This window comes from Homo sapiens, chromosome 8 (assembly GCF_000001405.40).
Source record: "Homo sapiens chromosome 8, GRCh38.p14 Primary Assembly".
Classification (NCBI taxonomy): domain Eukaryota; kingdom Metazoa; phylum Chordata; class Mammalia; order Primates; family Hominidae; genus Homo; species Homo sapiens.
In genome coordinates, this window is record NC_000008.11 from 57,259,312 (window position 1) to 57,279,542 (window position 20,231).

The 20,231-nt window shown below is 43.7% G+C and overlaps 1 long non-coding RNA gene across 1 annotated transcript, besides 2 other annotated features; it reads left to right on the forward strand.

Moving 5' to 3' along the window:
- Positions 511 to 1,092: an enhancer, noted in NCBI's record as "H3K4me1 hESC enhancer chr8:58172381-58172962 (GRCh37/hg19 assembly coordinates)". NCBI's record gives its function as "activates a minimal SCP1, AML or CMV promoter by ChIP-STARR-seq in primed H9 embryonic stem cells {active_cell/tissue: H9 hESC(primed)}" and the evidence as "EXISTENCE:reporter gene assay evidence [ECO:0000049][PMID:30033119]".
- Positions 1,677 to 2,258: an enhancer, noted in NCBI's record as "H3K27ac-H3K4me1 hESC enhancer chr8:58173547-58174128 (GRCh37/hg19 assembly coordinates)". NCBI's record gives its function as "activates a minimal SCP1, AML or CMV promoter by ChIP-STARR-seq in primed H9 embryonic stem cells {active_cell/tissue: H9 hESC(primed)}" and the evidence as "EXISTENCE:reporter gene assay evidence [ECO:0000049][PMID:30033119]".
- On the forward strand, positions 1,915 to 7,300 carry LOC286177 (uncharacterized). The gene is made up of 3 exons (NR_038874.1): positions 1,915 to 2,028; positions 2,223 to 3,806; positions 6,030 to 7,300. It is a non-coding gene; the product is annotated as an uncharacterized LOC286177 (long non-coding RNA).
- The last annotated feature ends 12,931 nt before the right edge of the window (positions 7,301 to 20,231 follow it).

Sequence of the window (20,231 nt, forward strand, 5' to 3'; positions counted from 1 at the left end):
GAGTGCCCAGCGCCCACGACTCCGTGCTCTGGGCGCGAATCAAGAAAAAGTGGACCCTTGGGTGGGAGGGCGGTGCACTCGGAGACCCTGAGGCCCTCTGGGGCCAGCCCTGTCATCCTTTGCCTTAGGCTCAGCTGTAGCTGTCACCTGCACATAGTGCGCTGTAGTAGTGGAGGCAACTGCCGACCCTGCTGCCACCACCAGCACGGGGACCCCGCGGCCAGGCAGCCACGCGCCGAAGCCCGCAGCACAGCTGCAGCAGGGTGGCCGTTCAGCCCCTTCCTGGCGGCTGCATAGTACCCAGCGCCCGCGACCACGCGCTCAGGGCGCGAGCTATGGAAGAGCGAGCCCTAGGGCGGGAGGGTGGTGCACTTGGCGACTCTCAGGAGGTCTGGGACCAGCCCTGCCAGCTTCCACCGTGGGCTCAGCTATTGCTGCCATCTGCACATGCCCCACGGCAGCACCTGTGGCAAATCCCGACCTTGCCCGCCCCACTAGCAGCGCGGTCCCCAAGGTCAGACACCGCCACTGTGCCTGATTTGGGTAGTCTGTTCCGCAGCTGCAGGAGGGCGGGAACCGGCCCTCATCCCCATCGCGATGGCTGCAAAGAGTCCAGCGCCCTGGGCCCAGAGCTCTGGACTGGGGCCAAGGAAGAGCGGATCCCACGGTGTGAGGGCAGTGAACTTGGCGAAACTCAGGACGTCTGGGCTAGCCCTGCCAGCCTCCGCCCTGAACTTATGTGCAGTTACCACCTGCACATGGCACGGGGCCGCGGGAGTGGCAACCCCCAACTCGGCCAGCAGCCACCAGCAGCATAGACTCCAGGACCATACGCTGCCATGACCCCTCGGTTAGGCAGTCAGCCCCGTAGCCGCAGGAGGGCGGGAATCGGCGCTCAGCCAAACCCCATGGCTGCACAATGCCCACGGCCTGCGAGTCCGCGCTTCTGCACCGGCCAAAGAAGAGCAGGTACTGCGGCAGCAGCGGTGGCAACCCCCGACCCTGCCTGTCAGGCGGTCGGCCCAATAGCTGCAGGAGGGCGGGAACCGACTGCTGAGCCCCAACCCAGCGGCTGAGCAGTGCCCAACGCTCGTGACCCCATGCTTGGGGCGCGGGCCAAGAAAGAGCCGAACTTATTGTGGGAGGGCTGAGCACTCGGCCTCCTTCAGGCCATCTGGGACCAGCCATGCCAGACACCGCCGTGGGGTCATTTGCAGCAGCCACCTGCACATGGCGGACAGCCGCAAAGCTGGCAACCCCTGACCTTGCAGGCATCACCAGCTGCAGGGACCGCAGGGCCAGATGCCTTCTAGGCGCCTAATTCAGGCGGTCGGCCTCGCAGCTGCAGCAGGGCTAGAACTGGCGTTCAGCCCCATTCCTGTGGCTGCTCAAAGCCCAGCACCCGCGACCTAGCAATATGGGCGGGGGGCCAAGAAAGAGCGGACCCTAGGTTGGGGCGCTGAGCACTCGGCGACCCTCAGGCCATCTGGGTCCATTCCTGCCAGCCTCTGCCATGGGTTCAGCTGCAGCCGCCACCTGAATATGGCGGGGTCAGCAACTGGGGCAACCCGGGCTATTTCCGTGACTACTATCGCGGTCCACAGGGCCAGACGCTGCCGTGGCGCCTAAGTCACGCAGTTGCAACCGCAGCTGCAGGAGGGTGGAAACCAGTGCCCAGTCCCATCCTGGTGGCTGCAGAGTGCCCAGCTCCAGGGACCCCCAACTTTGGGCGCGGGTCGAGCAGGAGCAGTGGACTGGGGCTGCGCAGTCACCTGGGGCCTGGGGCAGACCGCACCATGAGCTCAGTTTGGTGGTCGGCGCCTCAGCTGCAGCTGCCACCTGCATGCTGTGCCCACGAGAGCGCGACTCAGGGCGGTTTCTGGCCACGCGCAGTTTGTGGCCACGCGCGGGGCCATTACCTTCCGAGGTGCCAGTGCGCGCTGGGGCCCAATGGCTCTGCTCCGTATATTTCTTCTCCGAGAGTTTGGAGACGTCCCTCTCAGAGAAGCTGGAGGGTCCCTGTCTGAGGTCTGGGCCAGACCGTCTTGCTTTATGGTGCTGGTCAGGGTGGGGGCTGGGCGGCGGGAAGGGCGAGGGCTAGTTGTGGCGTCTCTGAAGCCGATAGCCGGGCCATGAAGAAGATCTTGGCTGTGGAGAGCCAGAAGGGCCAGGTGCCCCTGAGCTCCTGGAATAACCGCATCTTTTCTGACCCCTGGTACCAGACCCCAGATGAGGATCTGGAATATCCACAAAGCTGCGTCCAGGGGAACGCGTGGAAGCTGCAGCGGAGCCTCCTGCTCAAGAGAAAAGGCCAGTCTGAAACCTACAAGAAGAACATGTGTCGGGAACTGCGGGCTGTGGGCTGGGGGCTACTGGAGGAGGTGGGCAGGTGGGGAGAAGCACCCCCTTCAGAGCTGGGGGCTTGGGGAGTGGGGGCGAGGGGAGGCTTGGAAAGAATGGAGTGTGTGGGGCGGGCCGTCCTGGTCCCCAGGGCGCTGGGCTTTCTTCCCTGGCAGACTCCGCAGCGCCTGAGATGTGGACGCCTTGGAGGCGGAGGGCCCAAGTCATCTTTATGAGCAGCAAAAGAAACCCAAAACTTTAGCTGGTTTCTCCACCCACAGTTCCTCTTACAGAGCACTTCAGAGAGAATTTTAAAGCGGTATAACAAAATTAAGTATATACTGTGTTTTATTTTTAATGTACACATTTTAAAAGATAATATTAGATACATTATAGAAAGGAACGTAATGAAAGAAATAATTCCCATAATATATCACCTTCTGGGCTAAAAATTCTTTGGCTAAAATCCAATATTTATTTTATATTAATGAATGCCTACATAAATATGTTCTTTACTGAGGGAGCTTAGAAGGACACTTTGAAGTGGGAAGATGGTTCATGTTCTTGAATAAGAAGACTCATTTTTCTCAAGATGTGAGCTCTTTATCAATTTTACATAAACCAAATAAAGCTATCAAAATTTTTAACGTTTTTGAATTACACATGCTTTCACTATTGTGATGACATTAAGAAAATTTTTGTAACGGTTAAAAAAGTCTTACCTTTCTAGATATCAAATGTGCTATTGATTTCCACAAATAGTTTGCTAACAGCTGAAAAGATAGATAAATGAATACAAGAGAATAGAAAATCCAGGGACACTCAAATATATGTAAGAATTCAGAACTTGATAATGGTGATACTTTGTACTAGTAGGAAAAGATGAATTATTTTCATTAATGAAAGGCCTGCTTTTTGGAGGAAACTAGCTAGATTTTTATGCCACAAAAATAAGTTCCTCATACAATATAGACTGAAAATTTTAAATATGTAAGATGAGAGAAACATCAGAAGAAAACACAAATGCCTTATTTATACAGAAGCATTTTTGTGTTGACAAAAACCTGTCTAAGAAGCTCACAAGCAAGCCTTCTGAAGGTTGATCTAGCAAAATAAAATTAAATCACCCTATAATAACAAAAAATAACAAAACATAAGGTAACATAAAATATTTACCATATGTGTATACATATTAGATTAAATATGGATTTTCATTTTACAGAGAATTATTTCAAATCAGCCTGAAACAAAAAAGACTCTAATTTAACATTGAGCAAAGCAGTTCTTTCAGATCTGCAAGTGACCTATGCTCATAGGAAAAAATATTTTGTGTTCTTGGTAAGAGAAGGAATTTAAAAGAGGTATAAAATATTGTTTTCTGTCCACAAATTTTGTGAAGATGAAAAACAGTGATATTATACTGCTGCTTAAAGTTGCTGATGGCCTTTCAAATGGACAATTTGGTGGTAAGCATTACATTTTTAAAATGTATATTCCTTTTCTGATCAATTCCATTATACTAAAATCTGTTTAGAAGACAATGAGAGATACATGCGATTTCATAATTTGAAGGTCTTGAATTCCAGTGTTTTTATAGTTTGGGGTTTTACAATAAGTCTTTAATCTATTTTGAGTTAATTTTTGTATATGATGTAAGGAAGGGGTCTAGTTTCAATCTTCTGCATATGGTCAGCCAGTTATCCCAGCAACATTTATTGAATAGGGAATCCTTTCCCCATTGCTTGTTTTTGTCAGGTTTGGCAAAGATCAGATAGTTGTAGGTATGTGTACTTATTTCTGAGTTCTCTATTTTGTTCCATTGGCCTGTGTTTCTGTTTTTGTACCAGTACTATGCTTTGGTTACTGTAGCCCTGTAGTGTAGTTTGAAGTCAGGCAGCATGATGCCTTCAGCTTTGTTCTTTTTGGTTAGGATTGGCTTGACTATTTGGGCTCTTTTTTGGTTCTATATAGATTTTAAAATATTTTTTTCTAGTTCAGTGAAGAGTCTCAATGGTAGTTTAATAGTAAAAGCATTGAATCTATAAATTGCTTTTGGCAGTATGGCCATTTTAATGATATTGATTCTTCCTATGCATGAGCATGGAATATTTTTCCATTTGTTTTTGTCATCTTTGATTTCTTTGAGCAGTGCCTTGTAGTTTTCCTTGCAGATACCTTTCACCTCCCTAGTTAGCTGTATTCCTAGGTATCTTATTCTTTTGGTGGCAATTGTGAATGTGAGTTCATTCCTGATTTGGCTCTTAGCTTGACTGTTGTTGCATCTCAGGGATAAAGCCTACTTGCTTTTGGTGGATAAGCTTTTTGACGTTCTGCTAGATTCAGTTTGCCAGTATTTTGTTGAGAATGTTTGCATTGACATTCATCAAGGATACTAGCCGAAGTTTTCTTTTTTCTTTTTGTTATCTCTGCCAGGTTTTGGTATCAGGATGATGAGTTAAGGAGGATTTTTCTCCTCCTCAATTGTTTGGAATACTTTCAGTAGGTATGATGCCAGCTCTTCTTTGTACAACTGATAGAATTCAGCTGTGAATTCATCTATTCCTGGGCTTTTTTTACTTAGTAGGCTATTTATTACTTCCTCAATTTTAGAGCTTGTTTTTGGTCCATTAAAGGATTTAATTTCTTTCTGTTCAGCCTTGGAAGGGTGTATATGTCCAGGAATGTATCCATTTCTTTTAGATTTTTTAGTTCATGTGCAAAGAGGTGTTCATAATATTCTCTGATCATTGTTTGCATTTTTTGGGGGTAAGTGTTAATATCCCCTTTGTTTTTGATTGTGTTTATTCAAATCTTATCTCTTTTATTCTTTATTAGACTAGCTAGCAAGTCTGTCTATTTTATTAACTTTTTCGAGAAAGTATCTCCTGGATTTTTTTATCTTTTGAAAGATTTTTTATGTCATTATCTTCTTCAGTTCAGCTCTGATTTTGGTTTCTTGTCTTCTGCTAGCATTAGGATTTGTTCACCCTTGGTTCTCTAGCTCTTTTAGTTGTGATGTTAAGTTGTTGACTCGAGATCTTTCTAGCTTTTTGATGTGGGCATTTCATTTCCCTCTTTGTGGGCTATAAATTTCCCTCTTTACACTACCTTAGCTGTGTCCCAGAGATTCTGGTAGGTTGCATCTTTGTTCTCATTAGTTTCAAAGAACTTCTTGCATTCTTCCTTAATTTCAGTATTTACCCTATGTTCACTCAAGAGCAGGTTATTCAGTTTTCACGTAATGATGCAGTTTTGAGTGAATTTCTTAGTCTTAATTTCTAATTAGATTGTGATGTGGTTCAAGAGACTTTTTGTTATGATTTCAGATCTTTTGCATTTGTTGAGAACAAACCTAGATTTTACCTACAAAATGCATAGGTGATATCAGTGACAGGCATTGAAACTGATTTTGTCCAGTTCTTGATTCACTGTGAGCAATTAATGGCAAAACGAATCCAGGAGGCACTTTTTGATTTGGGGTGCTTGGTTTTTTAAGGGCTAGAGTAGCTTAGCCTTTATATATATATACATATTTATCATGTATTTTTATGGTAATATAAATATATATGTGTTATATATTTATATTTAAACATATTTATAAGATTGACTATATTAACTTACTCTGTTTTCTGTTGCTATAACTGAATACCTGAGACTAAGTGATTTATAAATAAATTTATTTCTTACAGCTCTGATGGCTGGGAAGTCCAAGGTTACAGGGCTTATCTGGTGAGGATCTTTTCCCTGGTGGGGACTCTACAGAGTCTCAGGGTAGTGCTGGGTATTACTTGGTGGTGGCCTCACAAGAGACAACCAGGAATGAATTAATCCATTCATAAGGGCTTGGCCTCCCAAAGGTTCTACCTCTCAAAAGTTCTCCCTCTCAAAGTTTCTACTAGTCACTTCCCAAAGGTTCTACCAGTCACTTCGCAAAGGTTCTACCTCTCAACACTGCTACCTTGGGGGACAAAGTTTTCAACACATGAACTTTTGGGGAACACATTCAAACCATATCACCACTTTAGCTGTCTTGGCTACTATCTGCACCTTTTATGTTCAACCCATGTATATCTTTGAATCTATTGTGTGTCTCTTATAAATAATATATATAGTTGGATCACATTTTTCTTATCAGTCTGACAATCTCTGCCTTTTGATTGTATTGTTTAATCCATTCACATTTAATGTTACTATGATATGCTTGGATTTACTTCTATTTTCCTTTTTATTTTTAACGTTTCATGTATTTTTTAATTCTTTTATTCCTTCTTTACTGCTTTTTCATCAAGTGAATATTTAAAAAGTTAACGAAACTCAAAGATTCTTGTACTTAGGAGAATGGATGTTTTTATACTTTTTTGGTAAACGTACATCACATATAATACTACCTTCCTGGCCTACTTCACAGAATGATGTGGAAATCAGTGAGACAGTATGAGACAGAGACTGAGAAACCACAAAGTATTGTTTCTAATTAAGTACTGGAGCAATGTTTAAAAATCAGTGTGAGATGGGCATGGTAGCTTACGCCTGTAATCCCAGCACTTTGAGAGGCTGAAGAGGGTGGATCATGAGGTGAGGTCAAGAGATCGAGACCAGCCTGGCCAACATAGTAAAACCTCATCTCTACTAAAAATACAAAAATTAGGCATGGTGGTGCACGCCTGTAGTCCCAGCTACTTGGGAGGCTGAGGCAGAAGAATCGCTTGAACCTGGGAGGTGGAGGTTGTGGTGAGGCGAGATAGTGCCACTGCACTTCAGCTTGGGCAACAGAGTGATACTCCATCTCAAAAAAAAAATTAGGGTGAAATTAAGTAGTAGTGTTTTACAAAAAATGAATTTTGAAAGGGTGTGTGTACGTGTTTAGGTCATGCTTTTTTGGGCTAGTTAGTATGAAATCTATTTACCTAAATTCTGTAAGACTACTTAAAATGTTTATTAAATTTTGAAATTCATGTAACATGTTAGGATCATAGCCTTGACTTGAGAAATAACTGGTTCCCGATCATTGCTTTCTGGGTTATGCACCTTGCAGTGATTACTTCTCCTCTTCTGTGTCCAGGTGACTGGATACTGTTGACTGATTAGGTAATTTATTTTAATGAAAACACACCACGTAGATGGTGCTGATAAGTCATAGACTTTGGCAAACTTTTCAGCATTCCCCAAGCAGTGTGGGCCCCTGCTTCTGCAGAGCTGACAGCTGGAGGGATCAGGCACTAATGTTTTAGTTTAATGAGAGACGTGCTATATGCAGCAAAAAAGCTGAGATGAGCTAATCTAACAGTGAACTTGCAGTTTACAGAGGAGAAGACATCTGATATAAAATGTAGAAGTTAGCCAAATGGTCATGAGCTGTGAAGAGCTTTCCATAGGTGAGAAAGTGCATTTGAAATGCACTTACTTGAGAATCCAACTCTGAAGTGAATTAGATTGGCTCCATTAAGTCATTTTAAAAGGCCAGGCACCATGGCTCATGCCTGTAATCTCAGCACTTGGGGAGACTGAAACGGGAGGATCTCTCGAGCCCTGGGATCCAAGACTAACCTGGGCAACATGGTGAGACCCCATCTCTACCAAAAAAAAAATATTTAAAATTGTTCAATGGTCCAGATTTCAAGGGTGAAGACAAAAAGTTGTTCAGCCATTTTTCTCAAACTAAAGCTCTCAAGCCGTAAGTGCCTGCTATTGTTTAGGTGTCTAAAATTTTAGTTGCCCAGAATCTAATTTAGAAGAGTAGCTTTCAGGTTGTTATTTTGAAGCCATGAAACCTTTTCTTCAATATTAATTTTGTAAAGAAATTCACTATGTGAAATATGTAATACAGACCTTCTGTGAATGAGGAATGTGGGAGAGATCCTCTGTTGCTCCTTTATGATCATAAAAATACCACATACTTTTTAAGAAAGCTGGTCAATATAAGAAAATATATATAAAAGAAATGTAAAATTGTCCCTAAATTTTACTTAAGTGAAGATAACCACTTTGGCATTTAACTAGATATATTTTATATATCCCTATGTATGCACTCAAAAAATTAATCTGTATAAATAGATCTTTTATGCTGATGCTTTATAACCTGATTGCTTTCACTCTCTAGTCTGTTGTTATCCGTGTCAGAAACTTTGGGTTTATAGCCTTAATAGCTGCACAGTATTTTTGCATAGATGTACCATATATTAATTCCCTATTCATGACATTTGGGCTGTTGCTATTTTTCACTTTTACAAGTGACTCCTCTGCAGTGACTCTTCTTTTCTATTCATGTTTGTAAACTTTTGTGATTATCTTCTTAGAATAAATTCCTGGGTAAAGAATTTCTAGGTCAAAGGGCACACACACTAAAAATTTTCATAAATTGCCAAACAATGTATTTAATTAATAATGAATATCAAAATATTTACATTTTGACTCTCTTTATGCAGGCAAATTTTTATTTCCTGTGTTGTTTTAAACTAAATTGAAAGAAAAAAATTGAGTGGTAAAAAATATTTGAAAAAATGTTTTACCTTTAACAAATTTAAATATTTTATATAATTCATAAAAGAAAGCCATGCTCTCTAATACTTGTTTAAAAATATTAATCTTTAAAGTAAAATCTTTGAAATTAAGTTATTTCAAAATGTTTTCATTTAGGTAATGTTTGGGCTTCCAAATATGAATAACTGTTTCTTTCATATGTCAATATTAAGAAAAATATTTTGAAGGTAACATTGGTTGATCTCTAACATTTTCCTTTCACTTCAATGTTTGCATTGTATGAAAATAGTCTTACTGCCATTAACACATTTTCATTATAGGCAGCATAATGGAGAGCAGTGTTTCAATAGCCCTTTGTCAGATGGGTAGATTGCAAAATTTGCTCCCATTCTGTAGGTTTCCTGTTCACTCTGATGATAGTTTCTTTTGCTGTGCAGAAGCTCTTTAGTTTAATTAGATCCCATTTTTCAATTTTGGTTTTTGTTGCCGTTGCTTTTGGTGTTTTAGACATGAAGTCTTTGGCCATGCCAATGTCCTGAATGGTATTGCCTAGGTTTTCTTCAAGGATTTTTGTGGTTTTAGGTCATATGTTTAAGTTTTTAATCCATCTCGAGTTAATTTTTTATAAGGTGTAAAGAAGGGGTCCAGTTTCAGTTTTCTGCATATGGCTAGCCAGTTTTCTCAGTACCATTTATTAAATAGGGAATCCTTTCCCCATTGCTTGTTTGTGTCAGTTTTGTCAAAGATCAAATGGTTGTAGATGTGTGATGTTATTTCTGAGGCCTCTGTCCTGTTTCATTGGTCTATATATCTGTTTTGGTACCAGTACCATACTGTTTTGGTTACTGTAGCCTTGTAGTATAGTTTGAAGTCAGGTAGCATGATGCCTCCAGCTTTGTTCTTTTTGCTTAGGATTATCTTGGCTATGTGGGCTCTTTTTTGGTTCCATATGAAGTTTAAAGTAATTTTTTTTCAATTCGGTGAAGAAAGTCAATGGTAGCTTGATGGGGACAGCATTGAATCTATACATTACTTTGGGCAGTATGGCCATTTTCACAATATTGATTCTTCCTATCCATAAGCATAGAATGTTTTTCCATTTGTTTGTGTCCTCTCTTATTTCCTTGAGCAGTGGTTTGTAGTTCTCCTTGAAGAGGTTGTTCACATCCTTTGTAAGTGGTATTCCTAGGTATTTTATTCTCTTTGTAGCAATTATGAATGGGAATTTGGTCGTGATTTCGATCTCTGTTTGTCTATTATTGGTGTATAGGAATGCTTGTAATTTTAAAACATTTATTTTGTATCCTGAGACTTTGCTGAAGTTACTTATCAGCTTAAGGAGATTTTGGGCTGACACGATGGAGTTTTCTAAATATACAATCATGTCATCTGCAAACAGAGACAATTTGACTTCCTCTTTTCCTATTTGAATACCTTTTATTTCTTTCTCTTGCCTGATTGCTCTGGCCAGAACTTCTAACACCATGTTGAATAGGAGTGGTGAGAGAGGGCATCCTTGTCTTATGCCGGTTTTCAAAGGCAATGCTTCCAGTTTTTGCCTATTCAGTATGATATTGGTTGTGGATTTGTCATAAATAGCTCTTATTATTTTGAGATACATTCCATCAACACCTAGTTTATTGAGAGTTTTTAGCATGAAAGGGTGTTGAATTTTATTGAAGGACTTTTCTGCATCTATTGAGATAATCATGTGGTTTTTGTCATCGATTCTATCATATAATGATGGATTACATTTATTCATTTTCATATGTTGAGCCAACCTTTCATCCCAGGAATGAAGCCAACTTGATTGTGGTGGATAAGCTTTTTGATGCACTACTGGATTAGCTTTGCAGTATTTTATTTAGGATTTTCCCAACGATGTTCATCAGAGATATTGGCCTGAAATTTTCTTTTTTGTTGTGTGTCTGCCAGGTTTTGGTATCAGGATGATGCTGGCCTCATAAAATGAGTTAGGGAGGATTATCTCTTTTTCTATTGTTTGGAATAGTTCAGAAGGAATGGTACCAGCTCCTCTTTGTACCTCTGGTAGAATTCGGCTGTGAATCCTTCTGGTCCTTGACTTTTTTTGGTTGGTAGGCTATTCATTACTGCCTCAATTTCAGATCTCATTATTGGTTCATTCAGGGATTCAACTTCTTCCTGGTTTAGACTTGGGAGGGTGTATGTGTCCAGGAATTTATTCATATCTCCTAGGTTTTCTAGTTTATTTGCATAGAGAGTTTTCTAGTATTCTCTGATGGTGGTTGGTATTTCTGTGGGATCAGTAGTGATATATCCCCTTTATCCTTTTTTATTTCATCTATTTGATTCTTCTCTTTTTTCTCCTTTATTAGTCTGGCTAGTGCTGTATTTTGTTGATCTTTTCAAAAAAGCAGCTCCTGGGTTCACTGATTTTTTTGAAGGGTTTATCATGTCTCTGTCTCCTTCAGTTCTGCTCTGATCTTAGTTATTTCTTGTCTTCTGCTAGCTTTTGAATTTGTTTGCTCTTGCTTCTCTAGTTCTTTTAATTTTGAGGTTAGGGTGTCGATTTTAGATCTTTTCTGCTTTCTCTTGTGGGCATTTAGTGCTATAAATTTCCCTTTACACACTGCTTTAAATGTGTCCCAGAAATTCTGGTACACTGGTCTTCGTTCTCATTGATTTCAAAGGACATTTTTATCTGTGCCTTCATTTCGTTATTTACCCAATAGTCCTTCAGGAGCAGATTGTTCAGTTTCCATGTAGTTGTGTGGTTTTGAGTGAGTTTCTTAATCTTGAGTTCTAATTTGATTGCACTGTGATCTGGGAGACTGTTTATTATGATTTCTGTTCTTTTGCATTTGCTGAGGAGTGTTTTACTTCCACTTATGTGGTCAACTTTAGAATAAGTGCGATCAGGCGCTGAGAAGAATGTATATTCTGTTGATTTAAGGTGGAGAGTTTTGTAGATGTCTTTTAGGTCTGCTTGATCCAGAGCTGAGTTCAAGTCCTGAATATCCTTGTTAATTTTCTGTCTCATTGATCTGTCTAATATTGACAGTGGGGTGTTAAAGTCTCCCATTGTTATTGTGTGGGAGTCTAAGTCTCTTTGTGGGTCTCTAACAACTTGCTTTATGAATCTGGGTCCTCCTGCATTGGGTGCATATGTATTTAGGACAGTTAGTTCTTCTTGATGCATTGATCCCCTTACTGTTACATAATGCCCTTGTCTTTTTCGATCGTTATTGGTTTAAAGTCTGTTTTATCAGAGATTAGCATTGCAACTCCTGCTTTTTTTTTGCTTTCCTTGTGCTTGATAAATATTCCTCCGTCCTTTTATTTTGAGCGTATGTGTGTCTTTGTATGTAAGATGGATCTCCTGAATACAGCACACTGATGGGTCTTGACTCTATCCAATTTGCCAGTCTTTGTCTTTTAATTTGGGCATTTATCCCATTTACATTTAAGGTTAATATTGTTATGTGTGAATTTTATCCTGTCATTATGATGCTAGCTGGTTATTTTGCCCACTAGTTGATGCAATTTCTTCATAGTGTTGATGATCTTTACAATTTGGTATGTTTTTGCAGTGGCTGGTACAAGTTGTTGTTTTCCATGTTTAGTGCTTCCTCCAGGAACTCTTGTAAGTCAGGCCTGTTGGTGACAACATCTCTGAGCATTTGCTTGTCTGTAAAGGATTTTATTTCTCCATCACTTATGAAGCTTACTTTGGCTGGATATGAAATTCTGGGTTGAAATTTATTTTCTTTAAGAATGTTGAATATTGGCCTCCATTCTCTTCTGGCTTGCAGGGTTTCTGCAGAGATCTGCTGTTAGTCTGATGGGCTTTCCTTTGTGGGTAACCTGACTTTTCTCTCTGGCTACACTTAACCTTTTTTCCTTCACTTCAACCTTGGTGAATCTGATGATTATGTGCCTTGGGGTTGCTCTTCTCAAGGAGTGTGTTTGTGGTATTCCTTGTATTTCATGAATCTGAATCTGAATGTTGGCCTGTCTTGCTAGGTTGGGGAAGTTCTCCTGGATAATCTCCTGAAGAGTGTTTTCCAACTTGGTTCCATTCTCCACAACTCAGTTTATTTCATTAAGTTGGCCTTTAATCTCTGATATCCTTTCTTCCGCTTGATCAATTCAGCTATTGATACTTGTGTATGCTTCACAAATTTCTCATGCTGTGTTTTTCAGCTCCATCAGGTCATTAGTGTTCTTCTCTAAACTGGTTATTCTAGTTAGCAATTCTTCTGACCTTTTATCAAGGTTCTTAGCTTCCTTGCATTGGGTTAGAACATGCTCCTTTAGCTAGGAGGAGTTTGTTATTACCCACCTTCTGAAGCTTACTTCTGTCAATTCATTAAACTCATTCTCCATCCAGTTTTGTTCCCTTGCTGGAGTTGTGATCTTTTGGAGGAGAAGAAATGTTGTGGCTTTTGGAATTTTCAGACTTTTTGTGCTGGTTTCTCCCCATCTTTGTTGATTTACCTACCTTTGGTCTTTGATGTTGGTGACCTTCAGATGGGGCCTCTGAGTGGACATGCTATTCCTTTCTGTTTGTTAGTTTTCTTTCTAACAGTCAGGACCCTCTGCTGCAGGTCTGCTGGAGTTTCCTGAAGATCCACTCCAGACCTTGTTTTCCTGGGCATCACCAGTGGAGGTTGCAGAACAGAAAAGATTGCTGCCTGTTCTTTTCTCTGGAAGCTTTGTTCCAGAGGGGCACATGCCAGATGCCAGCCAGAGCTCTCCTGTATGAGGTGTCTGTCAGACCCTACTGGGAGGTATCTCCCAGTCAGGATACACAGGGGTCAGGGACCCACTTGAGGAGGCAGTCTGACCCTTAGCAGAGCTCGAACGCTGAGCTGGGAGGTTCACTGAATGCTCTTCAGAGTCATCAGGCAGGGACGTTTAAGTTTGCTGAAGTTGTGCCCACAGCCAACCCTTTCCCCAGGTGTTCTGTCCCAGGGAGATGGAGGTTCTATCTATTAGTCCCTGACTGGGGCTGCTGCCTTTCTTTTCAGAGGTGCCCTGCCCAGAGAGGAGAAATCTGGTAGTCTGGCCTTAGCGGCCTTGCTGAGCTGTGGTGGGCTCTGTCCAGTTCAAAGTTCCCAGTGGCTTTGTTTACACTGTGAGGATAAAACTACCTATTCAAGCCTCAGCAATGGCGGATGCCCTTCTTCTGCCAAACATTCAATTATGTCAGATGTTTCTTTTCCCAAGCATTCAATATTGTCAGGTTTTTCTCCTGCCAAATATTTAATCTGATGTGTCTTCTGCCAAATGTTCAATCTTGTCTGATATTTCTTCTGCTGACGATGCAGTCTTCTCAGATGTTTCTTCTGACACACATGCAATCTTCTTAAATGTTCTTTCTGCCAAATATTGAATCTTGTCAGATGTTTCTTTTGCTATTTCTTCCCACAAAGCCTCCCAACTCTGATGGGGTGTTTCTCTTACATCCACCCAGCTCCTCTTGTTGACTGCAGCCCCCAGTTGGCAGTTCCTGTTACCTCTTCTTATTGTATGTTTCATACAAGTTTTTTCTCTTGAGCATAAGGATCTGCTTCAGCTTCCGTACTTTTTTTTCTGGATGGAAGATTTGTGAATCTTCCTGAAGTTATCAACTGGAATTTTGCACTGATGTTATAAGAAGATGTTATCACAGAAGGAGCTCAGGGGCACCTGGCACTTCTGGCTCTTTACAGCAAAGATCTTTTTCATGGCTGTGACTACCAACTTCAATAACACCACAGCTCACCCTCACTCTTCCTCACCTCCCCTCCGACCCCAATGCCAGCAAGCAATTTGCTCTGGCCAAGATCTCTGACAGAGGTCTCATCGTCTTGAGACTCTTAGAGAACAAACACACCATCTCCAGCCTCTCAGAGCAGAAACACACAGTCTCCAGCCTCTCACAGAAAAAATAAATAAATAAATAAATAAATAAATAAATAAATAAACCTCACCATCTCCAGTTTCTCAGAGGAGAGTCTGGCCATCTCCTACTTTGCAGTGAATAGACTCACTGTCTCCAGACTGTCAGATGAGAGACTTACGTCTTGCAGCCTCTAAGAAGAGGACCCCAATGTCTCCAGCCTCTCAAAGGAGAAACTCATCATCACCAGCTTTTGGAGGAGAAACTGGCTGTCTCCAGCCTCTCAGAGAATGACCTTTCCATCTCCAGCCTCTCACAAGAGAAACTCACCATGTCCAGCTTCTGGAAAATAACTCACCATCTGCAGCCTCTCAGAGGAGAAACTGGTTGTCTTTAGCCTCTCAGAAAAGGAATTCACAGTCTCTAGCATCTCAGAGGACAAACTTATCATCCTGAGCCTCTCAGAGAAGAAACTTACTGTTTCCAGCCTCCTAGACAGAAACTTGCTGTCTCCAGCCTCTCAGAGGAGAAACGGTCACCAGCCTCTTAGAAGAAGAAAATCTTGCTGTCTCCAGCCTCTTGGAAAAAAAACTGGCCATCTCCAGCCTCTGAGAAGAGGACCTCATTGTCTTCAGCCTCTCAGAAAAAGAACTCACCAACTCCATCCTCTCAGAGGAAGAACTCACCATATCCAGCCAATCACAGAGACTCACACTCCCCAGCCTCTCAGAGGAGAGACTCACTGTCTTCGCCTCTCAGAGAAAAAACTCACTGTCTCCAGCCTCTCAGAAAAGAAACTAACCATCTCCGGTCTCTTGCAGAGGGATCTCACTATCTCCAGCCTCTCACAGGGGGACTTCATGTCTCTAGCCTCTCACAGGATGACCTCACTTTCTCCAGCCTCTTAGATGAGGAACTCACAGTCTCTGGGCTCTAAGAGAAGAAACTCATCATCTTGAGTCTCTCAGAAGAGTAACTGACCATCTCCAACTTTCCAGCAAAGAAACTGGCCATCTCCTACCTCTCAGAAAAGAACCTCACCATCTCCAGCCTCTCAGAAATGGAATTGGCCATCTCCTGCCTCTCAGAGGAGGACCTCAATGTCTCCAGACTCTCAGAGGAGGAATTCACAGTCTCCAGGCTCTCTGAGATGAAACTCACTATCCTGAGCTTCTGAGAAGAGAAGCTTACCATCTCCAACCTCCCAGTAAAGAAACTGGCCATCTCCTGCCTCTCAGAATGAGGATACACCACCTCCAGACTCTCAGAAGAGAGACTTGTCATCCTCAGCTTCTCAGAGAAGACACTCACCATCTCCACTTTATTGGAAGAAAAGCTCACAGTCTCCAGCCTCTCAGAAGAAAATCTGGTCATCTCCAGCATCTCAGAGGAGCACTTCTCCTTCTCCAGCCTCTCAGAGGGTGGAACTTGTAGTCTTTAGCCTCTTAGAGGAGAAACTCATCATCTCCAGCCTTCTCTCAGAAGGGAAACTGGCTGTCTCCAGCCTCTCAGAGGAGAAACTTTTTGTCTCTAGCCTCTCAGAGTAGGACCTCACCATCTCCAGCTTCTCAGAAAATAAATTAATCATCTTCAGCCTCTCAGAGGTGAAACTCACAATCTACAGCCTCTCAGAAGAGTACCTTGCAGTCTGCAGTCTCTCAAAGGAGAAAATTGCCATCTCCAGCCTCTCGAAGAAGAAACTGTCTGCAGCCTCTCAGATGAGGAAATCTTCATCTCCAGTCACTCAGGAAATAAACTTACCATCTCCAGCCTCTGAAAGAAGAAACTTGCTGCCTCCAGCCTCTCAAAGGAGGAACTCACCATCTCCAGTCTCTCATAGAAGGGCATAATTTTCTCCAGCCTCTCAGGAAAAAAAAAGACTTGCCATCTCCAGCCTCTCAGGAGAAACTCATTGTCTCCAGCCTTTCAGAGGAGAGAGTCACCATGTCCAGTTTCTCAGAGGAGGAGCTCACTGTCTTCAGCCTCTCAAAGTAGGGCTTTACCATCTCCTGCTACTCAGAGAAGAAGCTCCCCACCTCCAGCCTCTCAGTGGAGACAGTGGGGTTACAATGGCATAGCATTGCCCCAACCCCCAAAAGAAATAGTATCGAAGTCCAATGTAAACCTATTAATTACGTGGCTGTGCTACAATCAAAACATAGATCTCTGACGTCAGCCTTATTGTTCTTCATTGTGTTGATCAAGGTAAGCATGTGCTTTCATCTTTAGTTAAGAGATTCATGAGTATAGGACACAGCTTAGTGTTTAAGTCTTTTGAGTCTTAGACAAGGAATTTCCAACTATAAATGAAGCCATACTAAAACATAAATGGCAGAGGTTTCTGGGTATCCTCGGTGTCCAAAGTGACTGTCAGCAAGTTTATTCATGTTCTGTCTCTCTCTTCCTATAGAAGTGCCCTAGCCCTCAAGTCCTCCTCACTCGAAGCCTATGGACTCCTAATTTGCACACAAGTCTAACAAGCCACATCATCTTGTTTTTCAGTTCATAGCACTGTGAAACAGGAGACATTAGAGGCAAGCATTGATAGCAGTAAAAAGGGCAACCACTAGGAAAGAGTCAGAATATTAACAAACAAATGTCAGAAATGGAAGTCAAATAGTCCAGGACTAATCTAAGGGCAGATATTACCATATACAATAAGCCATTGGGATGTCTCTAGATTTCAGCATAGTTCATTAGTTTATGCCCAAAACAGTGACTTAAATCTTCCTCCCAAAAAGATGAACTTGTGATTATTGTTCAATATAAAATGTAATACATTAAAAAATATAAGACTTTTTTTTGAGACAGAGTCTCACTCTGTCGCCAAGGCTGAAGTGCAATGGTGAGATCTCGGCTTACTGCAACTTCCCCCTCCTGGGTTCAAGCAATTCTCCTGTCTCAGCCTCCCAAGTAGCTGGGTTTACAGGTGCCCACCACCACAACCGGCTAATTTTTTGTATTTTTAGTAGAGATGGGGTTTCACCATGTTGGCCAGGCTGGTCTCAAACTCCTGACCTCAGATGATCCACCTGCCTCGGCCTCCCAAAGTGCTGGGATTACAGCCGTGAGCCCCCGCGCCTGGCTCGGTGCAGCTGCCAGTATGGGGCTGAATGGCCTTTTATTAAAAATGTAAGACATTTTAAATAAAAGAAGTTAAAAAGTCTGTGGAAGTATTGAGGGTGAGAATCTCTGCTAGCTAGATCTCTATATTAAGTGATGAGATAAGCTTTATTAAAAATGAGAATCAGTTCATACTTAACCTAAGCCTGACAGTGCTGGGCAGAGAGTCCTGCTGTACCACTACCAATGGAGCCAGGCAAGGATGCCTCTCTGCTAGACACAGCACATATGGACAAAGCCACAAGCTATGGCTCATCCCAATAGAATCTTACTAGTTCCCTGGTAAGGTTAGCTATAATGTCTTCTAACTCACATCATTTGCATTAAAAAAAGAAAGAAACAGATGATGACTGATACACATGTTGGTTGGTAGAGCTTTCAGGTTCCTCTTTCCATGTAGTTGAGGAAATTCCTCAGCCCATTGTCACCTCGGATCTCATGCTGCAACTCCATCCTTAGCTCAACACCCACTGGCCCCTGCTTTCAAACTGTTGCTGGTCTTCAGGTAGAGCAGGTTCTGCAGATCAAAGGACATTTTTCACTAAAAATCTCTGACATCAGAGACAGAGACTACATATCTATAATGAACCTTTCCGAAACCTGTCCATTAGAAAGCCACTTCTCAGTACAGAGGTGGACCTTGGAGACTTTCCAGGATTTTCACATCCATCTGCGAAGAGGAAAAGAACTCCTGAAACTGGGCTGACTTCATAACCAGTTTAATTTCACACATCTCACCTTTCTGGAGCTGCCTTGTTTTTCCCTTCTTGCATCACTGCAGAGAAAATTCATGGACTTCCTAAAGGTGAGACTCTGACCCATTAGTAAGAAAGTCTTGCTTTATGTTAAGTTGGCTTTCTCTGGAGATCTCCTAACTGCTTTATAAACATTCTTTCACACCTCCAAGCAGGTAGGTGGTAACTCATATTCAATTGTTACTTTAGTTTCAGTGATCCCCAGGAGCACTGATCCCCTGACCAGATGCCATGGAGGCTGCTAAGTCAGGTAGCTGGCTGGGCTGTGGAACAATGGGCAAAACCACAGCTCAGCCCCATTGTCTTTGGCTGCAGATTACCCAGCAACAGGGCCGCTCTCCAGATGCAGGTCAAGGAGGAGTGGACCCTGAGGCCTGGCAGCAGGCACACTTAGCTACCTGGAGGCCTTCTGAGGGAAGCCCCATATCCGGAGCCAGTACCTGAGCTACAGCCGCTACGTGCAGGTTGCGCACTGATAGAAGTGGCCCTGCAGCCTCCAACTTCCCGCTTCCCCTCTGGGCCCCAGCAGCGCAGACTCCCATGTCAGATGCCACTGCCGCGCCTAAGTCAGGTGGTCCGCCTTGCAGCAGCACGAGGGCGGGAAAAGGCCACTCAGCCTCATACTGGCAGCTGCACAGTGCCCAGAACCCACCACCTCGTGCCAAGGAAGAGCACACCCTAGAATGGGAGGTTGGGCACACCCTAGAATGGGAGGAGCAGCAGAGCCTAGAATGGGAGGCTGGTGTCCTCGGGGACCCTAAGGCTGTCTGGGACCAGCCCTGCCAGCCTCCACCAAGGACTCTGCTGCAGCTGTCACCTGCACATAGGGCTCGGTAACAGAGATGGCAACCCCCAACACTGCCGGCCCCACCAGCAGTGAAAAATACAAGGCCAGAGGCTACCAGGGCTTCTAATTCAGGCGGTTGGCAGGACAGCTGCAAGAAGGGAACCCGCAGCTGCAGGAAGAGAACCTGGCGGCCACACAGTTCCCAGCGCCCACGACCCGGGGCTCAGGGCGCGGGAGAAAGAGGAGCTGACCGTAGGGTGGGAGGGAGGTGCACTCGGCGACCCTCAGGCTTTCTGGGACCAGGCCTCCCAGCCTCCGCCTGGGCTCAGCTGCAGCTGCCACCTGCACATGGCGCGCGGCAGCACAGATGGCAATCCAATACCCTGCCCGCACCACCAGCCCTGGACCCCAGGGAGAGACATTGCCACTTCAACTAATTCAGGTGGTCCGTGCCGCAGCTGTCGGAGGATGGGAACCGGTGCTCAGCCCCATCCCAGTGGCTGCACAGTGCCCAGGACCCACGACGCGGAGCTCTCGGAGCTGGCCAAGATTCCATATCGGACCCTATGGTGAAAGGGCCATGCAGTCGGTGACATTCAGGACGTCTGGGACCAGCCCAGTCGATCTCCCCCATGGGCTCAGTTGCAGCTGCCACCTGCACAAGGCACCCTGCAGCAGCGGTGGCAACCGCTGCCCTGCCCACTGCCACCACCAATGAGGATCCCAGGGTCGGCCGCATAATTCACCCGGTGGGCCCTGCAGCTTCAGGAGAGTGAGAAAGGTCCACTCAGCCCCATCCCGGTTGCTGCATATTGCCCAGCTCCCAGGACCTCACACTCTGTGCGTGGGACAAAAAAAGAGTGGAACCTGGGGTTGGAGG